Consider the following 25,032-nt stretch of genomic DNA (forward strand, 5'->3'; position numbering starts at 1 on the left):
ATTACAGCAAAAATGTATCATAATCAATAAATGAAATATCAGCAAACAAAAAAAGAAACTATAAAAAGTCTCCAAATGAATATGGAATTTTTCCAAAATTAGTTCCACCGTAGTGTTACCAGGGCACTCGAGATTTCAGCATCCCAGCACTTTTAGTGACTTAAATAATAAAAATTTGGATCAGGTCCTTGCTTGCTTGCACTAGCTTTTTGCCCAGTATTCTTTTTTCCCATAACGTAATTATAAACTGCTGATGTATAGTTTGTTTGTCGAGCAGAACGTGATAACTCTGGGTTCACACAAAGGTTTTCCAGAAGGAATGAATGCCTCGAAGGACTTTGTGAACCAGCTGCTGACCTCCAGAAAACTGGTTGCTCAAGGTGTTATCTGAGACTGATGAAATATAGCCTTTTCCTTTGATTCCCTGAAACCACCCCTCCCTTACCCCCTGGCCACATGAAAACTCTCTGCTGCTTCTTTTTGTTAAGGTAGATTTGAGAGATCTTGCCGCCTTGCCTTCTCACTTTGGCCAAATCAAATAAACCTTTCTCTGCCTCCAAACATCTGTTTGTCAGCGTTCAGCATCAGCTGCACATGGGTTCACAAATCTGAATTTGGGCTTCAATAACAGTAGCTTGAAGATGTCAGAAAATCAATACCAGTGAAATCAAAGACATATAAATAGAAATTACCCCTTCTGAAAAATAGAGAGAATAGCATTAAAGAATAACAGAGCCTCAGGAATCTGTGAGAAAACATTAAATGGATTAACTTAAGTATAACAAAAACCAAGAAAGAGAAAGAAAGAAGGAAAGAGAAAGAAAGAAAGAAAGAAAGAAAGAAAGAAAGAAAGAAAGAAAGAAAGTTTAAAAATAAAGAATAAAATAGTCCTAAATTTGGTTTAAATTATCAAATTATAGACTCAAGACCCTCAGTGAAGCCCAGGTAGGGTGAATACAAACAAATAAACAAATAAAACCCTTATTTAGACATATAATTGTGAAACTTCTAAAAAATATAAATAAAACTTTACAAATACCAAAATATAATTTCTAATTATAATGTCCTCACAAAAAGATGTTGAAATAAAGACATAGTTAGATAAATGAAAACTGAAGGTAATTGTCACTAGTAAACCTGCACTACAAGAAGTGTTGAAAGATATTCTTCAGGCTGAAGTAAAATGATACCAAATAAAACCTTGGATCTGAAAGAAAGGATAAAGAGCTTCAGAATTAATCAAACATAGTGGTTTCTTCTTGTGACTTCTTTATAAAAAAATTACTGTCTAAAAAAAAACAGTGTCAGGTGTTTAATATATATTAACTATTAACTTTTTGTTTTCATAATAAAAGAGCAAAGGAGGAGGTTAGGTAAATGGAATTAAACTGTTGTAAGGTAAATCCATTTATGAAAAAGGAAATAAAAAATGTAAAAGATCAAACATAATGTCAGCAAATTTAAATGTTTGCTTTTCAAAAATATCATTAAAGAACATGAAAAGGCATGCCATATAATGGTAGAAAAAATTTCAATACATATCCCTGGAAAGGACTTGACAGGTGAATATCAAAGTAACTCATAACCCAATAATATGAAACAACCTACTATAAAAAAAACTTGAGGAAACTTTACAAAAGAGAATTAGTAAATTGCCAATAAACACAGGAACAGATACTCAATATCATTAGTTATCAGAGAAATTCAAATAAATTGATATAGATTAATAACTAATCTGATCCAGATTAAATACTGCTGCATCCCCAGTAGAATCTCTAAATTTAAGAAGATCAGCATTACAATGGCTGGTGAGGATACAGAGTAACTGAAACTCTAATACATTATGAGTGGAAATGCAGTAGTGTACAGCCACTTTAGAGTTAAATATCCACTTCCCATATACCTCATCAATTTCACTCCTGGGCATTCACCCAAGAGAAATAAAAACATCTTTCCAAAAAAAGACTTATACAAGAATGCTCATAGCAACTTTATTCCTAGTAAAGAATTGGAAACAAACTGTCCATCAACAGGTGGGTGGATAAACAAATTGTGGTAAATTTAAACAATGGAATAGTAGTCAGCAATGAAAATGAACTAATTGCAGATACAGAAAACAATATGATTGAATTTCAGAGATATTATGTTGAGCAAAAGAAGCTAGATGCAAATGACTATACACTGTATGATCAATTTATTTAAACTTCAGAACAAATAAAACTAATCTATAATGACAGAAATCAAATCACTTTTGTGATGTGGAGGGAGGAAGTAGGATTGACTGCAAAGGGAACTTTCTCATGAGATAAAAATGTCCCATTTCTTCATTGGGGTGATGATTACATGATTCTAGACATTTATTAAAATCATAAAAATATAGAATTAATACAAATCAAGAACAGGAATGTATGGCAGTTAAGATCTTCATAGCAAGATGAAAAATTCTTTATTGTTTGACTCCTTTGTGTGTGTGTGTGTGTGTGTAATTATTGAAACTACAAACCCCCTGTAAAACTAAGTTTTCAAAAGAATTTGAAAAGCACTTCTGTGAAAAATATACAGATAAACAACAATGTAATAATGCTTATCTGAGCTACCAAAATCATTTGTTAACAATATTCATGAAGTTTTGATGCCATATAGATTTAGTAAGTATATTAAATCTATACTAAAATGGACATAGTCTCTTCCTTTAAGCATTTAGAGTTCAGTAGTATGTACTTATACGGAGGCTAAAGGCAAATCCATCTTCGATGCAAATCTGCCATGTTGGCTTCTGACTAACTCCAGTTCCAGAAATGCCTCTAAGATTTCTATTTTATCACTGTTTCTTGTGTACTTAACATAAATCCTACCCTTAGGTCAAAACAACCTTGACAATAAATCCTGCCCTTCGGCAGATTCACATACCATTTTTGCTTTTCCTTGAGATGTTGATTTCGGTTATCCTACACATTCCTTCCCTGTGATTTATAAAGCCTGGGTCTGGGGGATAATGGCCCTGGGATCCATCATCTTGTCTCACAGCTGCCCAAAACACAGACATGACTTCTGTTCATAAGTTTCTATTAGATGTTACTTTCTGAAAAATTGGATTTGTCAGCCTCTTTCTTTGGTCTCTCAGTTTCCTTGGACTTTGGGAAGAGGTTTGCATAGACTTGCTTACTGCAGAACAACCTGAAGAATTATAATATAAATAATTACATCAAAATCTCCTCAAGCTTAAATGATAAAACCTCATTCAAATACCATGTCACTTAATTTTTTTAGTTAAAAATTTCAGAAGAGGAAATAACCTGCTATTTAAAAATTATTGAGCATTTTTACCTATATTTTCCTTATTTCCAATATGCTATATATCTGATCGTTTCAGAGAGGTCAAGTGCATTCAAAACTTCCAAAAATGAAAAGTGGTTTTATATCAGATGATATTATTTTAGAATGTGCTCCTTTCAGGAAAACGGGCAAGCCCAAACATGGCCTTTATCCAGCACATTTGATTTCATTTTGGAACAATTTATTTTAAAAAATTTCCATAATTTGCTTAATACATTACAGAAAACATAATTATTTTTTTGTTTCTAAATAGCCTTACATACATATATCAGATAATTTACCAGGATCAGACATAATTCTTAACATCATATTTCAAATGTAGTTATAGCTCCCTCATATTTTTGTGTGCAATTACAAATTCCGACACGCAGGGGAACTTTGAAATAAGTCGTGTGAATATATGGAAGCATAAAAGGAGAGATTTAAATATCACTATGATATGCCAGGAAGGAAATATGACACGACAATGTTAATACAGTCTGAGAGTTCAGACAGCATGCTGAGTGACTTTCCTTTCTTTAAGAGTATCTGTCAACAGACATTCAGAACACTGATCATGCTCTCCACGCAGATTTAAGGCTCAACAAAATTGAAGAATAAATCAGCAGTATACCTTGTGTATGCTTTTTGAAAACAAAACTACCTATGAAAATCAGTTTAGAGTTATTTATAACGTTTTGGCTCTCACTTTTCCCTCAGTAACCTTACTCAGAGGATGACTTTTGACACAGCTTACTGTAATCACACACATGTTAAAATGAGAACACTAGCTCAATAAGCTTAAGGCTTCTTTAGAATCTTAACATTTATAAAACTCTCTGTAAATAGTAACTATAAAATGTATTTTTTTTCTGAATTCTTTTATCTTGGGTGAAATAGTGTAACTACTTCATCTTTTCCTAAAAATAATGGTTTATAGATAGTAATACAAATAATACACATTTACAAAGCTAATTTTGTTTTCTGCAAGCTAATGCCCACTAATGAGAAACTAGGTTTACTGTCATTGTTATCATCCATATGATCTTGTCGGTGATTTTCCTAAAGATTGAGTTTATCAAATTTTTTGGGAAAAAATAATCCCCTTTTACATCTTACCTATCAACATAATGATCTTGTTTTATGTAATCTTGTTGTTTTCAACCATTGTTTTCTTGAAAAGGAGTATTTGAAAATGATTGTATATTAATATGTAAAATATAAGATTTTCCTATCAAAAAATTAAAAACATATGCATCACTTCATAGTGTTAGTTATTTGGAATTGAGAGGTGGATGAGGAGAGGACTGAGAAAGGCAGGTTGTTGAAGTGAGCTTCCAGTAATTTCACATCAGGGCCAGTGTTACAAACTATATCGCAAAAGTCTGGATAGATTATCTAATTTTTTTTTTGAGATGGAGTTTTGCTCTTGTTGCCCAGGCTGGAGTGCACTGGCGCAATCTCGGCTCACTGCAACCTCTGCCTCCTGGGTTCAAGCGATTCTCCTGCCTCAGCCTCCCGAGTAGCTGGGATTACAGGTGTGCGCCACCACACCTGGCTAATTTTTGTACTTTTAGTAGAGACGGGGTTTCACCATGTTGGCCAGGCTAGTCTCAAAACTCCTGACCTCAGGTGATATGCCCGCCTCGGTCTCCCAAAGTGCTTTGATTACAGGTGTGAGCCCCCGCACCCGGCCAGATTATCTAAAATTTTCAAATGTGTAAGGCAAGGAGAAAAAATAATTTTATCGTTAAATTAACAAGGCAAAAAATCAAGCTACTGTCTGCTAAATACCAAGTATAAAATAATTTTAAAGTCAAATCTATCTACTACTATGATAAGGTCAATTACATAGTTATATACACACAAATATATTAAATGTTAAAATAAAAGTTAAATTTCTAACGTATCATCATCTCTTTCCTAATTTTTTCCTAGTCTGACTGTACCAGTGTGTACCATTATGATTGCCTTTGGTGTGCTCAAAATAGCATTACTAAGTTAATAGTTTAAGAATTTTCATGCAGAGAAATACCTGAAATTAAATGCCAATACTTAATGTCATCTATTTTCTTTTCTTTTTTTTTTTCTTTTATTTTTTGAGACAGAGTTTTGGTCTTGTTGTCCAGGCTGGAGTGCAATGGCACGATCTCGGCTCACCACCACCTCTGAGTCCCAGTTTCAAGTGATTCTCCTGCCTCAGCCTCCTGAGTAGCTGGGATTACAGGCATGCACCACCACGCCCAGCTAATTTTGTATTTTTAGTAGAGCCAGGATTTCTCCATGTTGGTCTGGCTGTTCTCGAACTCCTGACCTCAGGTGATCCACGCGCCTTGGCCTCCCAAAGTGCTGGGATTACAAGCATGAGCCACTGCACCCAGCCAATGTCATCTATTTTCAATTCTCCATCTAGATTTTAGACTTGAAAAAAAAAAAAAAAAGCCAAAGGAATATATGGGAAAGTGATCTGGTCTGAAAATTCAGGAAGCTAGACCAACTCCTAGAAAGGTGGTCTAGCTTCCTGAATTTCCAGTCCAGATCACTTTCCCTGTATATTTGATATTAATCAACAGAAAAATGAGGAAGGAGGCAATGATGTCTTAGAAATCATGCAGACAATGTGACTTTGACTAAGCCCCAGGTGTTTTTCTTCTCTTCAGTCAATTAGAATAACAAGAGACACTAAGATTTTATAAAACAGTGCATTTTCATGTGTTATAAAATCAATCGTTAATTGTATTAGTTCGTTTTCACACTGCTGATAAAGACACACCCGAAACTGGGTAATTTACAAGAAAAGAGGTTTAATTGACTCACAGTTCCACATGGCTGTAGAGCCCTCACAATTATGGTGGAAGGTGAATGAGGAGCAAAGTCATGTCTCACATGGTGGCAGGCAAGACAGCATGACAGCCAAGTGAAAGGAGAAACCCCTTATAAAACCATTAGATCTGGTGACACTTATTCACTACCATGAGAACAGTATGGGGAAAACTGCCCCCATGATTCAATTATCTTCCACCAGGTGCCTCCCACAACACAGCGTAATTATGAGAGCCACAGTTCAAGAAGAGATTTAGACAAGGACACAGCCAAACCATATCATTACACCCTGGCCCCTCCCAAATCTCATGTCCTCACATTTCAAAACCAATCATGTCTTCCCAACATTCCCCCAAAGTCTTAACTCATTTCAGCATTAATTAAAAAATCCACAGTCCAAAAGCTCATCTGAGACAAGTCAAGTCCCTTCTGCCTATGAGTCTTTAAAGTCAAAAGCACATTAGTTACTTCCTAGATACAATGGAACTATAGGCATTGGATAAACACACCCATTTTAAATGGGAGAAATTGGTCAAAACAAAGGAGCTAAAGGCCCCATGCAAGTTCAAAATCCAACAGGCCAGTCGAACATTAAAGCTTTGAAATGATCTCCTTTAATTCCATGTCTCACATCCAGGTCACTCTGATGCAAGAGGTGGGTTTCCATAGTCTTGGGCAGCTCCACCCCTATGGCTTTGCAGGGTACAGCCCTCCTCCTGGCTGCTTTCATGGGTTGGTGTTGTGTCTGTGGCTCTTGCAGGCACGCAGTGAAAGGTGTTGGTAGATTTACCATTCTGGTGTGTGGAGGACGGTGGCCCTTTTCTTACAGCTCCACTAGGTAGTGCCTCACTGGGGACACTGTGGGGTCTCGCACCCCACATTTCCCTTCATGCTGCACTAGCGGAGGTTCTCCGTGAAGGTCCTGTCCCTCCAGCACATCTCTGCTTGGACATCCAGGCATTTCCATAAATTCTCTAAAACTAGGCAGAGGTTCCCAAACCTCAATTCTTGACTTCTGTGCAAGTGAAGGCCTAACTCCATGTGTAAGCCACCAAGACTTTGGGCTTGCATCCTCTGAAGCAATGGCCTGAGCTCCATGTTGGCCTCTTTTAGGCACAGGTGGGATGCAGGGCACCAAGTCCCAAGACTGCACAAAGCAGCAAGGCCCTGAGCCCAGCCCATGAAACCATTTTTTCCTCCTAGGCCTCCTGGCTTGTGATTGGAGGGGCTGCCATGAAGACCTCTGACATGCCCTAGAGACATTTTTCCTATTGTCTTGGCGATTAACATTTGGCTCCTCATTACTTTTGCAAATTTCTGCAGCCAGCTTGAATTTCTCCCCAGAAAATGGGTTTTTCTCTTCTATTGCGTCAACAGGCTGCAAATTTTCTGATCTTTTATGCTCTGCTTCCCTTTTAAACATAAGTTCCTATTTCAAACCATATCTCTGTGAATACATAAAACTGAATGCTTTTAATAGTACCCAGGTCACTTCTTGAACGCTTTGCTGCTTAGAAATTTCTTCTGCCAGATGCCCTAAATCATTTCTCTCAAGTAAAAAGTTCCACAAATCTTAGGGCAGAGGCAAAATGACACTAGTCTCTTTGATAAAACATAGCAAGAGTCACCTTTGCTCCAGATCCCAACAAGTTACTCATCTCCATCTGAGACCATCTCAGCCTGGACTTCATTGTCCATATCACTATCAGCAGTTTCGTCAAAGACATTTAACAAGTTTCCAGGAGTTCCAAACTTTCCCACATTTTCCTGTGTTTCTCTGAGCCCTCCAAACTGTTCCAACTTCTGCCTGTTACACAGTTCCAAAGTCACTGCCATATTTTTGGGTATCTTTACAGCAGTGCCCCACTCCCACTACCAATTTACTGTATTAGTCTGTTTTTACACTGCTGATAAAGACATATCTGAGAATGGGTAACTTATAAAGGAAAGAGGTTTAATTGACTCACAGTTCCACATGACTAGGGAGGCCTTGCAATTATGGCAGAAGGTGAATAAGGAGCAAAGTCACATTTTACATGGCAGCAGTCAGGAAAGCATGAGAACCAAGTGAAAGAGGAAACCCCTTCTAAAACCATCAGATCTCATGAGACTTATTCACTACTGTGAGAACAGTATGGGAGAAACCACCCCCATGATTCAATTGTCTCTCACTGTGTCCCTCCCACAACATGTGTGAATTATGGGAGCTACAATTCAAGATGGGATTTGGGTGGGGACACAGCCAAGCCACATCATTAATTAAAGTATGCCCACATTTAGACCATCTCAGAAAGATTCTGGCTACCATGCATGTAGACAGTTGGTCCTTTACTCTGATAACAGGATAAAAGTGAACTTCAAGCTGACAAACTAAGCCAACTATCCAGATATTTTGGCAAAAATTAGATTACTGTTGAGTTTTGTATTTTTTTGTTTTATTTTGTTTTTGTGTTACTGTTGTGACTCACAGCTATAAAATAGAGAGTAGATAGCCTAGCTACTTTTATTTAAGAAGATGTGGAGTTGGGCACCTAAAACACTATGCATTAAGGGTACCCTTAGAAACATTTGATGCTTAAAGAGAGCAATAAATAATTACAGTAATGAAAGTGAAATAAATAGGCTAATGAAGACAAACATGGAACTTTTAAATTATTTTAGAAAATGTTTTTAATTTGTTTGAATTCAACCTAAAAAAATATAAATTCTGTGTAGATCATTGAAATATAGGCACTGTTATACAGTTATCTTTCATATGTTTGCCTGAAATATGTTTATTTTGTTGTATTTGCCCCTTGAAGAGTGTTTTAATGCCAATGCAAATTGTTTTCACATTAACCCAGTGGAATTCACCTTCAAATCCCAGTGCTTTCTAGGAGAGCACTGATAAATGAAAATCAATTCTATTCCACTTTATAAAGTGGTATTCTTTTGTTACTCACATTTCTTATTAAGTACAACATACAAGCTGCAGGGCAATGAAAATTATCCTTTTGCTTCTTCTGCACAGTGGAAACATTCTTAGATTGACTAGATTGAACATTTTGTTTTCTGATTTTATGTTCAAATTCTTCATCTCTGATATATACCTGCTCATCAAATTTTGAGGATTTCCTTTGCGTTGAAATCTTATTTATTGATGTTTTCTTCTTCGCTAATTAACATAAACCCTCAGAGCTCTCTAAGCTCAAATATACGTTACAGTGAACTAAAAATTTCCCACTGTTTACTTTAGAAATAGGCATTTTAAGTGTCAAATGAAAATACGACCTATTATTCTAAAATAGATATTTTAGAGAGAATCTAGACAACCATCAAAAATTCTCCCACAGAGGCGGAAATGAGACAAATTAAACCTTCATTGAGATGAAACCCAGGAGACTTAGCCTGTCTACAGAAGCCAAATAGAGGCATAAGAGATTTATGAGGAAAACTGTTATATTAATGTGAGTGAAATGCTTTGGGGGCTGTCTTTTTGATCTGGTTTTAATCATTCCAAATCCATACCTGGATTTCTTTTCTACAAATGTAACAAACGTATGTCCCTGTTTGATCATAATTCTGTAGAAAGTCAGACTTGACATCCCTGTTTCTCAAGCTTCTTGGTGTTAGGGGAATTAAAATGTTAAACACTTGCAAGGTTTGAGATGAGGTAAACCCCCAGCTCTCTTGCTGCATTCTTTTTCTTAGCAAGGGAAAAAGAAGTCACTGGTAGTTATGTCATATCTTGTGAACATTTCTCTACTGTTCTCTCTAGTCTGTTTGTTTTATTTGTCAGTGTTTTCCTGTTGTCCTTGAATTTGTTGCTATAGCCATCTGTAAAGATTTATTTGCACAAGATTGAGAGCTTAAGGGAACACATATTATGAATTCAACTACAGGACTAACTTCAGTGCAAGAAGAGGCAAGAAAACCTACTTAAGCCCGTATTTAAGGAATTTTATGAAGTTACTTTTGCTGGATGTAAGGGTTAGGCTGAAATGCCATGAAGAAAGTATTATATGACAGTGGGATTTTATGCAAAGATCCAAGAATATTTAAATTCTGACCCAACCAGTCCTCCTATCCTACCTGCCGGGCAAAAAAGAAATCTGTGTTTGTTTGTGATTGTGTGTGTATATATATGTATATACACATACATACACACATTTCTTTATATATATTCTATATATACACATAGAATATACACCTATATTAACATATATACACACACATACATATTTACACACACATATTCATACATTCAAGCACATACACACATACATATATACATACATATATAGTTTATATGTGTACACATACATATATTTTATATATATATTACACACATACATATATATGCATAGAAAATAATTGAAAACAGAGTCAAGTAAACCTTTACATTAATTGGTGATTTGGTCACAAGGCCCAATATAGAACTCCTATACAGTGTTTTTTTTATTTTCTCTATAAACGTTCAAACAAAAGACAGCAAATACTTCCTTTAATGTCCGGACTAAAATTTTGAATTGTACCAATCCAGTCATTAAAGGAGTCAATTCAAAGCACAACAAAACAGTCAACATATATGGGCACATGTACAAGAATGCAGGCAGTGTTATTCACATGCATGCTTAAGAAAGAAAGAAAATCTTTTCTTAATATCTGTTGGAGATCAACTAAACTCACTCAGTCTTCTCAAGCTAGAATGATAGGCCTGGGCTTAGATATTATATGAGACAGAAAAGGAAAATCAAAACAGAGAGATACATGTCTGTCTCCTTAATCTTTTGGAACACTCTTACTTGTACTTAACTATAATTGTTGCAGTAGGAGACAGAGATTTTGCTTTGCATCTAGCTTTAAACAGAGCTTTAAGTCCTCCTCGTAAAATGGTTTTGGCTCTATGAAAATTTATAACCTGATGTGGTCTGAATGTCTCCCAAAATCCATATGTTGAAACTTAATCACCAATGTGACAGTATTAAGAAGTTGGGCCTTTAGGAGGTGATTAACTTATTAAGGTGGAGCAAAGCCCTCATGGAAGGGATTGGGGCCTTTATAAAAGGCTGAAGGAAATGAGTTCATTCCCTTTTGCTCTTCCACCTCCACCATGTGAGAACACAGCATTTATCTCCTCTGAAGCATGCAGCAATATGGTTGAGAGTGTAGCTCTCACCCAACACTAAACCTGCCAGTGCCTTAATCTTGGACTTCCCAGCCTTCAGAACTGTGAGAAATAAAATTTTTTCTATAAATATTACACAATCTCAGGTATTTTGTTACAGCAGCACAAAAGAGTAAGACATATTTCAATAGACAAATGCGGAATTTGCTTTTTAGTGTTATCTGTGTAAGCAGAGTGGACGGAAATATCAAGTGTTTTCTGAGACCCTGGGCCAGATCTATTGTATTGGTAAAGCAAAATTCAGTGAACTGGGCTTCTCTGGCCAATTGAAGATCTATAAAAGGGTAAAAATAATAAGGTGTAGGGCTATGTCACTTGGATGTGACGGTCAGTGTGAAAGTTTTTTCTGCCTTCCACCATATCTCTCCTTTCCTCCCTCCCTCCCTACTTTCCTTCCTCCCTTCCTTCTCTTGTAGTATTACTATACCCTCTCCCATAGAAAGGGAAAGAATGAATTGCGGGCCTGCTACTACTTATTGCCTTTCCAATCAATAACTCTCACATTGTGATAATCACAATTGTGAAATCAGTGAATCTTATGTGAAACAATTTGTGAATGGATAATTCTATAGTCAGAAGAAATGACTTTTCTCAATTCTCATAGCTTCCTCAGACAAAGATTAGGTAAGCTTAGGATTTTTATTGTTTGTACATTACTAAATTTAAATATGTATTGAGCACCTACTTGGGGTCTGACACATTTGAAGATTTCTTTTTTATTTCTTGACCTTCTTTTTTTTTTTTTTGAGACAGGGTCTTGCTCTATCACCCAAGCTGGAGTGCAGTGGCAGAATCTCAGCTCACTGCAACCTTGCCTCCCAGGTTCAAATGACCCTCCTGCCTTGCCCTCCCAAATGGCTAGGACTACAGGCATGAACGACAAACCCTGGCTATTTTTTTCAGTTTTTTTCAGAGATGGAGCTTTGCCATGTTGCCTAGGCTGGTCTCAAACTCCTCCGCTCAATCTGCCTTCTTTGGCCTCCCATAGTGCTGGGATTACAGGTGTGAGCCACCATTCCTGACCTAAAGATTTCCTCCTTTTGATATACATGAAATTATGAATGAAATGGAAATTACGAGATTCAAAGAGTTAGGGATAGATCAATCACAATGCTAGTGCCAGAAATTTTCTTGCTGCATGTTACAAATACGAATTCATTTAATTTTTACACACATGTGCCCACATACATGAGTGTATATGAACACACGAATGAGACTGGTTCTATTATTTATTCCACTTTGTAGAGCAATAAATGAGAGTGTAGAATCCATAAATATCTCACCCAATGTCACACGACTAGTAAGTGATGGAGCTGTAATTTGAGCAGTCTGTCTTTACTGTCTCTGCGCTTAATTATTATGCTGCACTTAACTGATATTCATGCATTAAGGTCAGCTATATGTAAGAAGTTTTACCTAATTGGAAGAGGTTAATAACACAATTTTTAATAAGAAGAATAGATGAGTAAACAAGAGAGGGACCGAGATAAACAGAGAAATTCAAGTACTTAAATCCCTTTTATATGATAATTTCTGTTTGTGGCTGGCCCACCTGACTAGGTATTATACACTGTTCTACTCATGTAGAACCAAAAGCCCAGACAGGTTTAGATTTGAAAGTTTAGTCAAGACTTGACATCTTTTCAACCCCAGTGCTTCCATATTAAATTCCTTTGAAATGAAAACAGTTTAGACATTAGGCCTACAAAAGATAAGAACAATCTTGCAAAGAGAATTTAAATGAAAAAAAGTCTTAGGAGATTGCTGTTTCTTGACAGTGAAACCATCATCTTTCATTCAGTCTAACTAGATAGCATCTTTTTTAGTGATGACACAATAACAGTTTATCTTTTCTCCGAAATCTGCAGGAATAAAGTTAGGCATTTTATTTTTATTTTTTTTGCAGAAGCCCTGGCTCACAATGTTCATTTCCTCTTGATTAAAAAAAAAAAAAAGATAAAAGAACAAAAGTTTGTTTATATCTTCTCAATTTGTAACAAGACTTAACTTTTTACCTCAACTTATCCTAACAAGTAACCTAAAGCAATTTCCCAAGCTTTGTGTGTATTTTAGATTTTATTGGTGCAAAGTAACTGTTGAATCCCCAAATCAAGTCTCCCTTGATCTGTGGATAAGAGAGGTATTTTAGATTAAAAAAAATCAACTTATAGAATTATTTTAGCTATAATTTTAAAGAGGTCCCTTTGAACTCAGACGAGACTAGCATTTGTTATGATTTGGGACGTGTCTGATGATTCACAAAAGATGTCTGGTCTGCCTTCTAGAGTAGTAGCTATTGAAAATTATCCAATTAAAATGGGAGTTGGGGAAGTGAAACTCTTGGGTTATACACAACACCTAGTATTCTAAATAAATGATTTATTTCTCCAGAAAAGACTATAGTATGAATAAAAATCCAGCTTTATTAAAACATTATGCGTTATTTCTTAATAATTTTTATTTATTATTTATTAATTAGTTTACTTAGTGCATGTGCTGCTGAATTTGAGTGGCTGTGTATTATAGTAATATTTTAGAGAACAAAGAATAAACTGTGATTAAGGCAAAGTGCACATTTTCAATTTTTGTTTACCCCAGGCTGTCACTTAAAATAAAATGTTATCAATATTTGATTATTCCTTCCTTTCTAACACATCATAAAGTTGTGTATCTCTATGCCTCTGCTCATGTTCCTCCAACAAGGATTACAATAGCAGACACATCTGGAACTAACCAAATCCCCTTTACCTGGCTGGGGTGCAGTCATCCCCAGCTGCTGCTAGGCCTGAAACTAATGGCTTACATCTGAGGCTTTCTCCAAAGAATTGTCTTGGCTATTCCGAGATGCCAGGAGAGTTTATTCTCAAAAGTTCTCAGTGTATGTGCCAAGACTAGACTTTACCGGAGACCCCATGCTTCAGGAGCTCCTTTCCCTTCTGTATTCTGCTCCCCTGTCTTACAGGGTTTCCTGGGGAGCTCTTCATTAATAAATCATATGTACTTGAATCTTTGCCTTAAGCTATGCTTCCAGAGAACCTGATCTAAGACAATTACCATTCCCGTCCTTTTCCACTGTATAATTTGCTATTATTCTGCAAAGTCTTTAAAGTTTTTTCTGTATATTTCCTCCACCCTAATATCCCTAGCAAAACTAATGTTTTCCCTCTGGTTTTTTTTGTTTTGTTTTGTTTTTGTTTTTGTTTTTTTTTTTTGAGTCTCTCTGTCGCCCAGGCTGGAGTGCAGTGGCGCGATCTCGGCTCACTGCAACCTCCACCTCCCTGGTTCACGCCATTCTCCTGCCTCAACCTCCCGAGTAACTGGGACTACAGGCGCCTGCCACCACGCCTGGCTAATTTTTTGTATTTTCAGTAGAGACGGGGTTTCACCGTGTTAACTAGGATGGTCTCGATCTCCTGACCTCGTGATCCGCCTGCCTGGGCCTCCCAAAGTGCTGGGATTACAGGCATGAGCCACCGTGCCCGGCCTTCGCTCTGTTTCTTAATGGAACATATGACACTTATATTAAGCACTTTTATTATATATTTATCCAAAATTATTTATTACATACCTACTACATGCCACATACTATTTTAGATATGTCATTAAGACATGCAAGGTCCTGCTCTCTTGAGTTTACATTCTAGTGAAGGGAGACATAATAAATATAAGCAAATTAGTGTGGAAGATACATTTAGACAAGAATAAATGCAATAATGCAAACCAAGGAAGTACAATAAAAAGTGGAAAGTTACTTAGAATGAATTTTCACAGAAATGCTGTATGAAGGACTAAAATAATACATTATTCTAACGTAAAGCTAAGAGCTTCTCAAGATCATAATGTATGTGTGTTTTGCACAAGGAAAGGCATAACACCTTAAAAAATGCTTGACTTGAACTACAACACACTATTGTTCTTGGATGGATTTCCTCAAAATAGTGTTCTGATTCTTTTTGTTCGAAACTTTGTTATTTGGTTCAATGATGCTCTAACAATGGTACATTGAGACTTTCTCTTCAAAAGGGTATCTAATTAAGAACCCACAAATTATCCTTATTGAATTTTCAATGAAATATTCATAAAGACTGAGAAGAAGAAGCAAAGATTACAACTTGGTAAGGCAAGTCTTCCAGGTAAGAAATTAGCAAATTCTGATATATTTTATTTTAAAAAAAAGTTCACAGAATTGAATACAGAAATATTGGGGGAAATACATGCATATTTTAATTTAAAAAGGAGTGCAGTCCTACCAATAAGTAGGAAGACTTTCCAGTTTGTGGTATTGCTTGCCAATAAGTAGGGAGACTTTCCAGTTCATGGTATTGCTTGCCATGGCTCAGAGATCTAAGGTTTGTACCAATCGGAAATGGGAGTTTCTGTCCCACCAATAGATAGGTTTGTTTAATGGAGAGAGTCAATTACACTGCTCTTATCAACCCACATCAGACTTGTAAAATTCTCATTCACATTTTTGAAAGAAAGCCAAATTAAAAGTAAATATTAAAAATTTAGCTTTCTTAAAGCCAATAATAACCCTTTAAAAGATAATTTAAATAAGAAATGCATATGCAGCAATGACATAAACATAAAAAAGAGAAAGGAATAAACCTAACAGCAAAAATTAGGGTACCTAGTCTTTAAAGTTTACAAAAAATATAATGTTAGATAAATACATATACTGAGTTTCTAGATCAGAAAATGGACTACCATTATGTGTCGCTTAATGACAGGAATTCGTTCTAAGAAATTTTGTCTAGTGCAAACATTATAAAGTGTACTTACATGAGTCTAGATGGTGTAACCTACTACACACATAGGCTATATGGTATAGCCTATTGCTCCTAGGCTGTAATCTCTACAGCATGCTACTATATTAAATACTATAGACAATTGTAATGCAATGGTATTTATATATCTAAACACAGAAAAGATAGGTAAAATATGGTATAAAAGGTTAAAAAATGGTATATCTGCATAGGGCACTTAACATAAATGGAGCTTGCAGAACTGGAAGTTGTTCTGGTTGAGTCAGTGAATGAGTGGTGAGAGAATGTGAAGGCCTAGGACATTACTATACACTATTGTAGGCTTTATAAACACTGTATACTTTGGCTACATTAAATTTATTTTTAATTTCTTTCTTCAATTAAAAATATTAAAGCATTTTATTTTTTATATTCTTATTGTAAAAACTTTTTTCTACTTTTTTTTTTTTTTTTTTTTACTTTTTAAACTTTTGGTTAAAAACTTAGACACAAACAAAGAAAATTAGCCTAGACCTACACTGGGTCAAGACCATCAATATCATTGTCTTCTGCCTCCATATTTTGTTCCCCCAGAAGGTCTTCAGGGGCAATAACACACATGGAGCTGTCATCTTGTATGACAATAATGCCCTCTTCTAGAATGCCTCCTGAAGAACCTGCATGAGGCTGTTTTTTATAAGGAGGACCACACTCTAAAATAACGATAAAAAGTATAGGATAATAAATATACAAACTAGTAACACAGTAGTTTGTAACCATTGTGAAGTATTAGGTACTTTACATAATTGTACATGGTATACTTTTATAAGACTGGCAGCAAAGTAGGACTGTTTACACCAGCATCACCACAAACATATGTGCAACATGTTGCATTATTATGATAGCTGCAACAGTCACTAAGTGATAGGAATTTTTCAGCTCCACTACAGTCTTACAGGGTCACTATAGTATATGAGGTCTGTCATCGACCAATACGTTCTGAATGTGGCATATGACTGTGCTTTAAAGATGTCTCTTTCCCTAAATTTGCTTACAATTTAAGGTAATGTCACTGTCTTTCAAAAAGGAAACAAAATAGAGTTTCTTGTAAACAAAAGTTAAAAAAAAAAATCAACAATCCTGAACTAAAAAAAAAAAAAAAATTCTTCAGGCAGAAGGAAAATGATGCCAGAAGGAAAATTGCCTTTGCACAAGAAATGAGGAGTGCTAAGAATGGTAAATATATAGACAGATATAAAAGACATTGTTATTTAAAATATCTTTAATCGGTAATCAGTTGTTTAACACAAATATAATAGCCATATATTTTGGAGTTTCTGACTTTTGCAGAAACAGTGTTATGACCACACTATCTACAGAATGGTGAGGAAAATTTAAGTACACTCTGGTAAGGTACTTGTATTATATATGAAGTATTATAATATTATTTGAAAGTAGGCTGTGAAAAGTTAAAGATACTTATTGAAAGAGTGGAAACAACTACTAGCCCAATAAAACAGAGGTATAGCTCTTAAGTCAAAGTAGGAGATGAAGAAAATAAGAGGAAAAAGAAACAAATAACAGGTGGCACAAACAGAAACAAATTTTAAGGTACATTAAAAACCCACATTATCAAAAATTATATCTAGGCACTGAAACTAAAAAAGGCATGAATTGTTGGATTGGATTAAAAAGCAAGGACTAATTATATGGTGACTGTAAGAAATTCATTTTAAATATGAAGACACAAGTTAAAAGTAAGAAGATTTAAAAAGAAATTCGATGAAAAACAAAAATTGAAAGAAAGCTGGAGTTGCTTTATTAACATTAGACAAAGTACATCATAGAACAAAGTACATATTACCAGTGACAAAGAAGGAAATTTCATAAAGATTTCATAAAAAGTTTCATCAGAAGGGCATAACAATCCTGAATGTGTAGGGACCCAGTAACAGAACTTCAAAATATATGGAGTAAAATTTTATAAGAGGAGAAATAGACATATCTATGATTATCACTGGAGATTTTAGCACTTCTCTTTCAGTAATTAAACAAGCAGCCAGAAAATCACCAAGAATATCGAAGGCTTGAACAATACTGTTAACCAACTTGCACATGCTTATATTTAGAGAATAGTGCACTCAAAAACCACATTAAACATGCCTTCTTTTTAGGTTAACATGGAACATTTACTAAGGCCACATTCTGACCCGCAAAGCAAATATTAACTGGAATGGAGTGAACTTATGCAAAATAATGTTCTCTGACCAAATGAAAGTATACCAGACATAAATAAGGTGAAATCTGGAAAGTCCCCAGATATTTGAAAACAAATCAACACATTCCAAAATCCATAAGTATAATCCATAAATTAAAGAAGAAATTACAAGCAAAACTAAGAAATTCTGAATTAAATGAAAATCAAAATGAAATATATCAGTATTTGTTGAATGGAGCTGAGCAGTACTTAGAGGAAAAATTATAATTGTAAACACTCATATTAGAAAATAAGAAAGTTCTCATATTAATGATTTTATCTTCTATCTTAAGAAACCAGAAAAAGAAATTAAACACAAAGTAAGGAGACAAAAAGAAATTCTAATAATAAAATCCAAAAGAATAAAATAAAAACAGAAATAATAGAGAAAAACAATGCAACCATAAGCTGGTTCTTTGCAAAGATAATTGAAATATATAAAGTGTAGTCATAGTAACCAGAACAAGCAGGAGACATGAATCACAGATCCTACAAGCATCACCACAAATCCTACAAGCATCTAAAGACTAATAAATAATATTATAAACAATATATGCCAATAAATTGACAATGAAGATAAAATATGCAAATCATCTGCAAGATAAAAACTGTTAAAGCTTACATAAGAAAAAAACAAACTAAACAGTTTTTTATGTATTAGGTAAATTGAATCTAGGTGTTTAAAATCTCCCCTCCAGTGAAAACTCCAGGCTGAGATGAATGCAACCAAACACTTATGGAAGAAATCACAGTACTTTCACACAAATTCTTCAGCAAATGGTCTTTCAATCTTATTGTAATAAGGTCAGACATACCCTGATACAAAATCCAGGCTTTACAAGGAAAAAAAATTAGAGACCAAAATGCTTCATTAATTGAATGCAATGTCTTTAACACATTTTTGAAAATAGAATCCGGCAATACACACAAAGAATAAGGATCTTACCAAGTGTAATTATATATATATGTGTAATCATCCCAAAAGATGCAAAAATAAATTTGGCAAGACTCACACCTTTCCATAATTAAATGGCAAGGAGACTATCATCAAACTAGAAATTGAAGGGAACTCTCAACCTAATCAAAGGCATGTATAAAAACCTATAGCTGACTTCATAATCAACAGTGAAAAATAGAATACTATCCCTTTACAATAAAAACATTATAAGATGTCTACTCATACCACTTTTATTCTATGTTGAAATAAAAGACCTAGTCAATGCAATAAGACAAGTAAAGCATACAAATCAAAGAGGAGGAAGTAAACTGTTTTAATCACAGATGACATGATTGTTTATGAGGAAAATCCTAACATACAGAAAAGTCACAAGAATGAATAAACAAATTTAGCAATGTCACAACTTATGATGTCAATATACAAAATTTGACTGTGTTTCTGTATCTGAATTATGACTAAATGAAAATTGAAATTGAAAACAAATATTACTTACAATAGTAAGTAAAAATATGAAATATTTAGGAATGAATTAACAATATATGTAAGATCTATAAATGAAAACAATAGAACATTGAAAACTAATAAAGACAAAATTTTAAAACAGAGAGATATAACATGTTCATTAATCAGAAGACGCAGTATTGTTAAGACAGAAACTCTTCCCAAACAGAACTATAGATTCAATGTAATCCCTATCAAAGTCCTGACAGGCTTAATTTTTGAAGAACTTGAAAATCTCTTGTTTAAATGTATATGCAAATGAGAGGAATTAGAATAGTAAAAATAACTTTGAAAAAGCAGAACAAATTTGAAGGGTATACATATCTGACTGAAAGAGATACTATAAATGTTTGGTAATCAAGAGAATATGGTATCAGTGTAAGGGTAGATGTACATATTAATGGAGATAATACAGAGTTCAGATATAGAAACAAGTATATTTGGTCAATTGATTTTCAACTAAGGAACCAAACTAATTGAATGGGAAAAGGACTTTTTTTTAAATAAGTGATTCTATTACAATTAGATATCCATATACAAAAGAAAATAAACCTTGACCCATGTCTTATTTAGTATAAAAATCAATTTATAGGAGACAATAGATTTAATATATTAATAAAACTTTTAAACTTCTTGTAGAAAACAAAAGAGAAAATATTGAGTTCTTGGGTTAAGCTAGCTTTCTTACATTCAACATAAAAATCACAAACCACAAATAAAAAATGGATAAGTTGTATTGCACCAAAATTAAAAACATTTCTTCTTCAAAAGACAACACTAAATAATGAAAAAGCATAGCATACACTGGAAGAAAATATTTGTAAAATGTGTAACTGATAAAGGACTTGGATTGAGAGTACATTTTAAAAGCACTTATAACTCAATACTAAAAAAACTGTTTTAACAAGTGAGGAAAAGATTTGCACAGATACTTCAGGAGTAAAGTGATGATAATTACAACAAGATGAATATAAAAACATTATGCTAAGTAGAAGACTATAGTCAGAAAAGATCACATATTATATGATTCTATTTATATGACAAGTTCAGAATAGGTGACTCTATAGAGACACAAAGTGGATTAGTGGTGGTCTGGCCTTTTGGGGATAATAAAAATGTTCTAAAATTAGATTATGGTAATAATTGTACAACTTTGTAAATATTATCAAACCCAGGGAATTGCATACTTTCAAGAGGTAGCTTTTATGGCACGTAAATTAGATCTAAACATGTGCTAATTAAATATTCTATGAATGGCAAGTAAGAATGCAAAAATATGTTCAGCATTATTGATAATTAAGAAAATAAAATCAATGCCACAATGAGAAACCACTACACATCTGAAATGCTAAAATTTAAAATTTGGCCAATATCGAAAGTGAGAGAAACTTTCATATATTGCTAATTAGAATATAAAATGGTACCTCCTCTTGGTAGACAGTTTGGCAGTTTCTTACAAAGTTAAATATATACTTTCCATGTGACCAAGAAATCTCACTCCTAGACATTAATCCAATACAAATTTTTGAAGCGGAGTCAGGCTTCTAGGGTGATACCTGAGGTTCATTGCCACATGCCAAGGAAATCAAGGACGGGAACACACAGGATTGAGGTTAAGAGTGAAGGTTTAATAGGTGAAAGAAAAAGAAAAGTTCTCTCTCTTGCAGGGAGAGAGGGGCCCTGGAGCAGCTCTTCTGGTTCTGTGGTGATATGCTCGGGGTTTTACAGACTAGCTTGAGGAGGTGGTGTCTGATTTACATAGGCCCCAAAAGATTGGTTGGACCAGGTGTGCATTTACATAGTGTGCGAAGAAGCTGGCCGCCCCACCGTAATCTTTTATTATGCAGATGGATTCTCTACCTGGCCTTTGGGTGACAAGTTGCCTATTCCCTTACTGCACATGTGGTGAAAAAGAAAAGGGAAGATGGATCTTCCATGATGGCTCCCAGGTAGCCTATCCTTTCCTATTAGCACAGCTGCCGGCATTTACCTTTGCTAGCTTCCAGCTTGCTTATCTATGTTTGCAGCTCTATTTTTCAGGCTACTCTTGTTAGAAAATAAGCGATTTAGGGGCTGCTTTTTGTTAAAAGTGAAACCTCAAGAGTGGCCCTCACTATCTGCCTCAATAATTTCGTTCTAGGTCGTGTATCACTACACACACACACACACACACACACGGACATAAATGTTCAAAGCGGCTTGTCAACAATAGCCAAAAATGGGAAAAAACTCAAATATCCACCAATTTTTGAACAGATGAATAAATTGAGGTATATTTTTATAATGAGATACTACTCAACAATAAAAAGAAATAAGTGATACACACAACAACATAGGTAAGTGTCCAAAGCATAATGCTAAGTAAAACAAGCCAGATATAAAGAACTACATACTGTATAATTTCATTTATAAGAAATTCTAGAAAATGAAAACACTGTAAAGAGAAATAGCATATCAATGGTTGCCAGAGATGATAGGTTAGAAGAGATGATTTAGTGCAAAAGAACATAAGCTAAATTTTTGAGGTAGCAGAAATATTCTACGTATGATATTTGGCTATATGTATTTTTCAGTATGTATATGTATATTCTAAAACTCATCAAGTTCCACATTTAAATTTGGTAAATATCATTATGTGTAAATTCTGCCTTAGTAAAGTTTATTTTTATTTGATTAAACAATTGCCACCAATTGCCATCATTTTTGCTCATAAGATAGTTTATTAATAGTCTCTTCTCAGAACCAAGTGACATTTTATTGCTACTAAATAATATTTTTTATTTTTGTCCCAGAGCCTTCTGATTAAGATGGCTGATTTCCCCTACTTTGGCATGTTAGAATTACAAAAGGGATGAATGCCTTTCTTCCACAGCAGTGATGGTATCTTTTCATATTCCATCATTTTCAAGGAGTCACTTTTGTGATTAAAGCTGTTTACACATTTTAATTATTAGGAAGTTGTGTATAGTGCCTCTATGCTCCAGTTCTGAATCAAAATGTCTTTGTCCAAATAGTCTATTTACTGTCTGCATAATCGGGGCAAGTCTAAGAGTCTCTTCTTTTGTAAAGTGAAAAAAATAAAAATTATTATGTCATCATGGAGATTGGATAAGTTAGGCCATGCCTGCAAAATGGCGAGTACTTAAATGCTAGTCTTTTTTTTTTTTTTTCCACTATTAATACTTTTACTATAAACAAAATTCAGCTTCTCTTCCCCAGGAATTATTGTGCTTTTCAAACTTGCACTCTGTTCTAGAGACATTTGACATAAAGGTGTCTTACACATAAACAACTACATTTCCTGTGACAATAAATTAGACTCTCTCATTTTAAATTGCAAAAGTCACAGGTGTTCCTTTAACATGTTGAGCTGAACAAATAACTGTTATTCCTGGACTGGGCTGAGGTTTCAAAATTCTAACAAGCAAAATAAATTTTTGATGTCACAAGGCAGATATGTCCTAATCTCTAACATTTACTGATCTCTCCCCAAGTAATGAAATACTGACAGAAGTTCCAAGATTATGTATTTGTTGTTTTTATAAGTTTCCAAGAGGGCACTTAATTTTAGTAGGAAGAACATACCAATTGCCTCTAATAAGAAAATCATCTTCATTTACATACATTCCAATTGCCTATTACAAAAAATTAAACAAATGAAATACTAACCCAATATTATCTCATTCTTCTCACCCTCATAAGTAAATGAAAGATATGCAAGTGAAAACACTTTGATTAGCATACCAGAGAAATCAAAGCTCTCAAATTCACAAAAAGCAGGAAAAACGAAGTTCACGGGTGGAGTCAAATACTTATAAAATAGACATAGATTTATTTATTAGAGTTTAAGAGAGGGTAAATATATCCATATTATTAACTCCAAATAAAAACCAGAATTCAGATGACAACACTTGGAAGTGATATCCACATTTTCAAATAACTCTAAACAAGGTTCTGAACATACTAATACCAATTTAATGACCATTTCTCAACAACCCTAGCTAGTTGAGCAGGAAAGATATAAATGCATCCTTATGACACTTTTTTGGGGTAGAAAGCTCAGTATTCAAGGGGATTGTTCCACCTGTGTGGTTACTGCTTATAGTAAGCTCACTTTTGAGGAAGTAATCATATGTGAGCAATAATAATGGCTTAAATTTATTGAGCTCTTAGTATTGGTGCAATTGCCAATCCTATAAAGAACACCCAGTAACCACCTCCAATTCTGAGGTAAATGCTGCACAGAGAAGTTAAGAAGCATGCCCAGGATTATATGGTTAGTAAGTGGCTTCATAGTAAGTTACTCTAAAGTGAACAAGCAGTCTAATTTTGACAACTAGCCATTGCACAATTTGACCTTCTAAGTCCTACATACTGTCATAAATGTCTCAATCTAACAGTACCCTGAATTCCCTCTCACTTGAACCATTGCAAGAAACCTCATAAATCCCTGACTCATTGGATGAATCGTGGTCAAATTTTCATTACATAGAGCTTCATAATGCCAAATTTTAGGTGAAAAATGTTAATGGATCTTCATTTTACAATCCAATATAAAACTGTACAACTCTTAGCATTTTCCCAGAAATACCCCCATTTTCTCACACTTCTGACCACTTATATTGTTTCTTCTGCATAAGGTGGAAATCCAAGTGAAGATGACATCAAGCTAACTTTTCATAATATGCTTCTCATAACTTATTATTTAAATATTTGTGGAAACAGAAAAAGACAACAGAGTATAGTAGTCATCAACACTAATGGAAACAGGAAAATATTTGTAAAACTTCAGAAGTGATTTCTAAAAAATCAAGACAGATGGATAAACTGAATTTTAAAGTAAACTCTTCTTTGGAGTTAGGCTACGGAAATATTAGCCCCTCTTCCACTCTGTATACTTTGATTGAAGAACAGAAGCCTGCCTCAATCAGAAACCCCAGCACAACATCAAGTAATATTGGCAGATGTTTTTCCTCCTCAACCTACCACCCTCAGAACCTGCCTTTCTAAATCCATTGAAAGGCTACAATTTCAGCCAAAAAAAAAAAAAGGCATAACAGGAAATAGAACATTTTCTTCACATTGTGTGCAGGACTTGTGATTTTCAGGCAAAGGATATAACTCATTTAATGAAGGGAGACCACAGATAGCCTTGGAGTGATCTGCTGATAATCAGAAACCTTGTGAGGAATGAGCGAGGAGTGACAAAAGAGGCATTTAGCTCTAGATGAACCAATTAGATAAATGCCCTTTAGGAAACTGAGAC

General features: G+C 34.6%; 1 long non-coding RNA gene across 7 annotated transcripts in view; it reads right to left on the reverse strand.

Annotated features, from left to right (window-relative positions):
- LOC105369468 (uncharacterized) overlaps window positions 1–25,032 on the reverse strand; it is a 383,452-nt gene that overhangs the window by 210,669 nt on the left and 147,751 nt on the right. The window contains exon 5 of one of the 7 annotated variants that reach the window (XR_001748359.2): window positions 1,970–3,177. The exons of the other annotated variants lie outside the window; for them this stretch is intronic. This is a non-coding gene — a long non-coding RNA (uncharacterized LOC105369468). Of the gene's footprint in view, window positions 1–1,969; window positions 3,178–25,032 lie in introns of those variants that run through there. 7 annotated transcript variants of the gene reach the window in all.

This window comes from Homo sapiens, chromosome 11, assembly GCF_000001405.40.
Source record: "Homo sapiens chromosome 11, GRCh38.p14 Primary Assembly".
Lineage (NCBI taxonomy): Eukaryota > Metazoa > Chordata > Mammalia > Primates > Hominidae > Homo > Homo sapiens.